General features: G+C 42.2%; 1 pseudogene; it reads left to right on the forward strand.

Moving 5' to 3' along the window:
• On the forward strand, positions 3508–5081 carry CIBAR1P1 (CIBAR1 pseudogene 1; annotated as a pseudogene).
• Positions 5082–7560: the final 2479 nt, after the last annotated feature.

Raw genomic sequence — 7560 nt, forward strand, 5'->3', positions numbered from 1 at the left:
CAAGCTGGAGTGCAGTGGTGCAATTATAGCTCATTGCAGCCTCCATCCCCCCAGCTCAAGCAGTCCTCCCACCTTAGCCTCCCTAGGAGGTGGGACTTCAGGTGGATGCCACCACATCAGGCTAATTTTTTTTATTAAAATTTAAAATTTTAATTTTAGGCTGGGCGCAGTGGCTCACGCCTGTAATCTCAGCACTTTGAAAGGCTGAGGCTCCATCTCAAAAAAAAATTATTTTATAATATTTAATTTTGTTTACAAAGTAATTGTATTTGCTATTCTGTTTATTTTCCTTATTATTAATTTATTTCTACTTAGACTGTATCCTCAAAAATGATTTTGACCCATACAAATTAAGTTATTTCTCTCTTCTGGCTGGGTGTGTTGCCTCGCGCCTGTAATCATAGTACTTTCAGAGGCCAAGATGGGTGGATCACCTGAGGTCAGGAGTTCAAGACTAGCCTGGCCAATATGGTGAAACCCTGTCTCTACTAAAAATACAAAAATTAGCTGGGCGTGGTAGCGCATGCCTGTAATCCCAGCTACTCAGGAGGCTGAGGCAGAAGAATCGCTTGAACCTGGGAGGCGGAGGTTGCAGTGAGCCGAGATTGCACCACTGCACTCCAGCCTGGGCAACAGAGCAAGACTCCATCTCAAAAAATAAGATAAAATAAAATAAAATAAAAAACAGTACGCCTAATGTTAGTGAGAATGTGGCATATTAGGAACTCTCATACACTGCTGTTGGGTATGTAAATCAGTAAACAGTTTGGCAGAAGGCAGCAAAGTTAAATATATACATATGTAACAAATCCACTCCTGGAGAAATTCATGCATGTTTACACCAGGATACATATATAAGAAACCTCGTAGCAACACTGTTTGCAATAACTAAACAAAGGGAACATCAATAGTGGTGGTAAGTGGTGGTAAAATGCACCCCCTTTCCTTTTTTTTTTCTTTGAGATGGAGTCTCACTGTGTCACTCAGACTGGAGTGCAGTGGTGCGAAATCAGCTCACTGCAACCTCTGCCTCCACGGTTCTAGTGATTCTCCTGCCTCAGCCCCCCGAGTACGTGGGATTACAGGCATGTGCCACCACGGCTGGCTAATTTTTGTATTTTTAGTGGAGACGGGTTTCCCCATGTTCGCCAGGCTGGTCTCGAACTCCTGACCTCGGGATCCACCCATCTCAGCCTCCCAAAGTGCTGGGATTCAAGCGTGAGCCACCCTGCCTGGCCGCGTAATGTTTTATTTCTTGAACTGGATGTTCACTTTGGATTTTTCCGTAAACAGTACATTTTCATTTAGTTAACTTCTAAGTATATTTCACAATAAAAAAGTTTTTAAAATTTCCTGGCATTCCTCTCTTGTTCCTCTAAGGCTTCCTTGAAAGTTTCCAGTTACCACTCTCACCTGGAAATCACTACAAATTAGTTTCGTAATTGAGATTTCACAAGATGCTAGATCAAAATGCTTTACCGATAGCCCAATTTTGAATATCTAACACTTCTCTTCTTCTCTCATTCCTGGAATTCTTAATCCAAAAATCCCCCAGAAAACCACTCATACCAATCTGACAAGGTCAACTATTTAAATTCATCACTGCTGTTGATTAGTCAGAATTCCTTCATCCTTTAGAGGCGTACACATTTTTTCTTTTTAAATATTTATTTCTTTATTTGATTTAATTTTGAGATTAGAATCGCACTGTGGTGATTTCCAGAAACATTTTCCGAAATTCATGTATTCTTTCCTCATTCTTCCTGAATTCCTATTATTTGTTCAGCACCTACAACAAAATCAGGGGGGCGGGGGACGTAGGAATATCACAATGACACATCGTTGATATTTACAAAAATAACAGCAAATGAAAGATTTAATCTATGTCATACAATGAGAAACACAACTGATGGATGATACTTTGATTTCCCTGTTGTTTTTAAACATTAGCAACGAGTCATACAATATTACTGGTATTTGCATTTCATCATCACTAGGCCTAATTTTTTCTAACCGAAGGGAGATTTTCAACATACAGTTAGCTTTTCATTCATCTGCCTGACCAAAATCTAATCCTCTGACATCTAAATCTTTCTTGGTTGTCAAGTTTCTTCTAATCTCATTTATAGGATATCACTCCAAACACCACTTCCTTTCCTACACTTATAACTCACTACTATACCATGTTCCAAAATATTATTGTAAGTTTTTTACTTCTAATTACAATGCACCTCTGAAAAGAGGGCTTTTCTCATTCCTCCAGGCATTATGTGGACAGCGGGGCACAGATAAGACAACATAAATTCATGCAACATGATTTCCTGTCTCTGGGAGAAATCATAGATGATTGTGGTAAGCACTACAGGTGTCCTCTTATGACATATATCTTCCTCAAAAATTATGTGGTATACCCCTGTATTTGTCAGACTCTAACCAGGAAAACAGGAAGCATTCTAAGTATTGGAAACAGGAAATTTAGTACAGGAAATAAATTGCATGGCTGATGGAGGAGATGAGAAGGTGAGGCAGTCTAGAGATTATCAACAGTGGGAAGACACTACTATACCTTAGCTGAAGGAACAAAGCAAAGAAGTGGTATTACTAGGGCCTAGGAGCCAGAATGACCTTGTAGAAGCTGAAACCATGGCAGGCCTGTCAGGCTGGTAATGCTGCCATAGAGGAGATGTAGCCAATGCTGGAAATACTACCCAGGGCAGAATGAGGCAGGTACAATATCCTGGTGTCCTCCCGCTTCCCTCCTAGATTCCACCAGTGCTTTCCTTTAGCCAAATCCAGCTAAAAACCAACAGCAGCAGGAGTACAGGGCAAGGGCAAGAAATGAAGGGTTTGGGAAAAAAAGGAGGTTTGGAGAAGTCGTGACACTCATCTCCAAGCAGTCAAAGGACTATCACTTGGGAGAGGGAATGGATTTATTCTCCATGGCACATCAAGAGATGGAAAAGCCAGCTGGGCATGGTGACTCATGCTTGTAATCCCAGCACTTTGGGAGGCCGACGCAGGCGGATCACGAGGTCAGGAGTTCGAGACCAGCTTGGCCAACATGGTAAAACCCCGTCTTTATTAAAAATACAAAAATTAGCCAGGTGTGGTGGTGGGTGCCTGTAATCCCAGCTACTCGGGAGGCTAAGCAGGAGAATCACTTGAACCCAGGAGGTGGAGGTTGCAGTGAGCCGACACCATGCCATTGCATTCCAGCCTGGGAGACAGAGCGAGACTCCATCTCAATAAAAAAAAAAAAAAAAAAAAAAGCCACAGAAAGATGTGAGTGGTAGAATCTAGGTAGTGGGTATGTGGGTGCTCACTGTGTAATCTTTTGACTTTACTGTATATTTTAAATGTCCAAAAAAAAAAAAAGTTAGAAAAACACCATCAAAGGCAGCAAGACATCTAGGACCACAAGGTGGGATCATCTGTTCACAGGTGCATTCGTTATCTATCACTGGGTAACAAATTACCCCAAATTTAGCAGCTTAAAGCAGCAAATACTGGGCCCCCGCAAGGTCCCCTGCCGTGCGCGAGGCAGCATGATGAGGTGCACCCTGGAAAATCGGAACGCTCAAACGAAACAACTGCAAACAGCTGTCTCAAATGTGGAGAAGCATTTTGGAGAACTGTGCCAAATCTTCGCTGCCTATGTGCGGAAAACTGCCAGGCTGAGAGACAAAGCAGACCACCTGGTGAATGAAATCAATGCGTATGCTGCTACAGAGACCCCACATTTAAAGCTGGGCCTGATGAACTTTGATGATGAGTTTGCCAAACTTCAGGATTATCGACAAGCAGAGGTTGAAAGACTTGAAGCCAAAGTAGTTGAACCCCTGGGCCGGGCGCGGTGGGTGGCTCACGCCTGTAATCCCAGCACTTTAGGAGGCCAAGGCGGGCGGATCACGAGGTCAGGAGATCGAGACCATCCTGGCTAACACGGTGAAACCCCGTCTCTACTAAAAATACAAAAAATCAGCCGGGCGAGGTGGCAGACGCCTGTAGTCCCAGCTACGCGGGAGGCTGAGACAGGAGAATGGCGTGAACCCTGGGGAGCGGAGCTTGCAGTGAGCCGAGATCGCGCCACTGCACTCCAGCCTGGGTGACAGAGCGAGACTCCGTCTCAAAAAAACAAAACAAAACAAAGTAGTTGAACCCTTGAAAGCTTATGGGACCATTGTGAAAATGAAACGGGATGACCTCAAAGCAACATTCACAGCAAGGAATCGAGAAGCTAAGCAATTAACTCAGTTAGAAAGAACACGTCAGCGAAACCCATCTGATCGACATGTTATTTCACAGGCAGAAACGGAATTACAGAGAACTGCAATGGATGCTAGCCGAACAAGTCGTCATCTGGAGGAAACTATTAACAACTTTGAAAGGCAGAAAATGAAGGATATAAAGACTATATTTTCTGAATTTATCACAATCGAAATGTTATTTCACGGCAAAGCTTTAGAGGTCTACACTGCTGCCTACCGGAATATACAAAACATTGATGAAGATGAAGATTTAGAGGTTTTCCGAAATTCTCTGTATGCACCAGATTATTCATCTTGTTTAGATACTGTAAGAGCGAATTCAAAGTCACCTCTTCAGAGATCACTGTCAGCTAAGTGTGTATCTGGAACAAGACAGGTATCCACTTGTCGACTAAGAAAGGATCAACAAGCAGAAGATGATGAGGATGAAGAGTTAGATGTTACAGAAGAAGAAAATTTTCTTAACTACACATTTCCATTTTCATCATAAATGACATAAAATCCACAATGACTAAATTGTAGAACTTTATACTCACTTTGATATGTTAAGCCTCAAAGTGAAGTCCAACTGGAAACAGAAAAATATTTAAAGAAAACTTATGCTGACCAAAAATGAAGTCTTTAAAAAAATATTGCATACCAGTCATTTCAACATCCTACCTAGTGTTACATGATTTTTGTGTAAGTGCCTTTTTTTAGAAGATGGTGTATTTCAAAGTATTTCATATTAATGTACTATATCTACTTGAAGTTCCAATAGTGCATTATGACAGAAACCAAAAGATCTAACAATTCTGCTTAGCTTTTTGGTTAAGACTCCATGCTTTCATTACCAGAAAAGGGTCTTATGTAGTCATTCTGATTACATGTAATTCTATTCCATGAAGTATTTTTTTTTTTTTGACGGAGTCTCGCTCTGTCGCCCAGGCTGGAGTGCAGTGGCGGGATCTTGGCTCACTGCAAGCTCCGCCTTCCGGGTTCACGTCATTCTCCTGCCTCAGCCTCCCGAGTAGCTGGGACTACAGGCGCCCGCCACTGTGCCCAGCTAATTTTTTGTATTTTTAGTAGAGACGGGGTTTCACCGTGGTCTCGATCTCCTGACCTCGTGATCCGCCCGCCTCTGCCGCCCAAAGTGCTGGGATTACAGGTGTGAGCCGCCGTGCCCGGCCTTCCATGAAGCCTTAAGAAAAAAAATTTTTTATAACTTTCCCTAAAACTTTATCATTTGATAAGTAAATTTACTTTTCAAGAAGGGTATAATCAAAGAGTAAAGATAATGTGACACTAAGATATCAGTGTTTTATGAATACACATAAGGCATAAATTTCAGCTGTAAAAAAGCCACATTCAGTCTGACTCTGGTTTTAAAACAAAACTTCTGTCATAATTATAGATGATACTGCAACTTTTGGAAGGCTAATTTGGTGGAATGTTGCCTCATCATAGAACACCACAGATCATTAAAAATTATATAAAAATTTTACCAAGCTACCATATAGTTAATAAAAGGGTATACAGTCACTTTTATTTTTGAAAATATGAAACATGGAGACTTTCAGTGTATATGATGCTTCTCTTTTGGTAAGGAATTATACTTTTATTTCATGGATCCCAGGCAGGCATATCAAAGTTATGGAATTTATAAAATCATTTGGGATAATTAGAAAATTCAATTATTCATAACAGAAAAATAAAGACTTTCTCAAAAGCAAAAAAAAAAAAAAAAAAGCAGCAAATACTTATTATCTCCCAGTTTCTGGGGGGTCAGGAATCCAGGATCAGCTGAGCTGGATGATTCTGGTTCACGTTCTCTTATAAGTTTGTGGTCAAGCTATAGGCTGGACTGTAGTCACCTGAAGGCTTGACTGGGGAGGATCTACTGGAGAGGAATGACCACTGTTTGGTTGTGGGAGATGAAGACATAGTCCCTCACAGACTGTCGGCTGGAGTCCTTGGTTCTCTGTCGGGCCGAATCCTCCCAAAAGTATTCTCCCAACATGGCAACCAGAACAAGTGATCTGACAGAAAGAGTGCACCCAAGATGGAAGCCATAGTATTAGGCCTTTTAGAAGCAAGGAAAGTATATACCAAGATTCTGGGAAGATGGCAGGGTGGTAACGGTGGCATACTTTCTAGATCTTCTCAAATCCCCATGTAAAAACAGAATAATTAGAGGACAAAACTCCAAACCCATGAACAATATTTACAACATACTGGGTGATGAAGTAACTCATAAACCTGAAATTGCAAAGAGGTGGGGACAACCCAAGAGATACTGACAACCATGTGGGAAAAACAGTAGAGGGAAGCAATGGGGTATCTGACAGACCTAAGAAGAAAATTGGTATTCACTAGAGAGTGTTAAGCGCCAATTTGAGAACAACAGCTGAAACCAAAAGGGGTTTTTTCACTCCAATAGCAATTGCATGAAAGGATCCCACAGTCTGAAGGTATACCCAGGCTTGAACAGTCTAGACCCTATAAGCTCTGTATAATAACCAACCATGGATCCCTTCCAGGACAAGTTCACACACTGGGGAGAAACTTCTAGAAATGGAACAAAAACTGAGCAGGGTAGGGAAAACAGAAAGGAAAGAGAGATAAAAGTACTAGGGAAGAAGACAAAGCCAAGAAATCTCAGAAAGCAAATAACTGTGATTTTAACACTACACAAAAACAACAAAATAGGAAGCTCTGTGAAGTTAAAAAATTAATTGAGCCTAGCCTGATGTGGTGGCTCACACCTGTAATGCCAGCACTTTGGGGAGCCAAGGCAGGAAAACTGATTGAAGCCAGGAGTTCTAGACCGCCTGGACAACATAGTGGGAACCTGTCTGCCCCCGCCAAAAAAATTTTTTTTTGAGACGAAGTCTAATTCTTTCACCCAGGCTGGAGTGCAGTGGCGTGATCTCAGCTCACTGCAACCTCCACCTCTGGGTTCAAGTGATTCTCCTGCCTCACCTCCCCAGTAGCTGGGATTACAGGCATGTGTCACCATGCCTGGCCCAAAGAAACCCCTTTTTTTTTTTTTTTTGAGATGGAGTCTTGCTCTATCACCCAGGCTGCAATGGAATGGCGTGATCTCGGCTCACTGCAACCTCCGCCTCCCGAGTTCAAGCGATTCTTCTGCCTCAGCCTCCTGAGTAGCTGGGACTACAGGCGCATGCTACAGTGCCTGGCTAATTTTTGTATTTTTAGTAGAGATGAAGTTTCACCATACTGGCCAGGCTGGTCTCGAACTCCTGACCTTGTGATCCGCCTGCCTCGGCCTCCCAAAGTGCTGGGATTACAG

This window comes from Homo sapiens, chromosome 15 (genome assembly GCF_000001405.40).
Source record: "Homo sapiens chromosome 15, GRCh38.p14 Primary Assembly".
Taxonomy (NCBI): domain Eukaryota; kingdom Metazoa; phylum Chordata; class Mammalia; order Primates; family Hominidae; genus Homo; species Homo sapiens.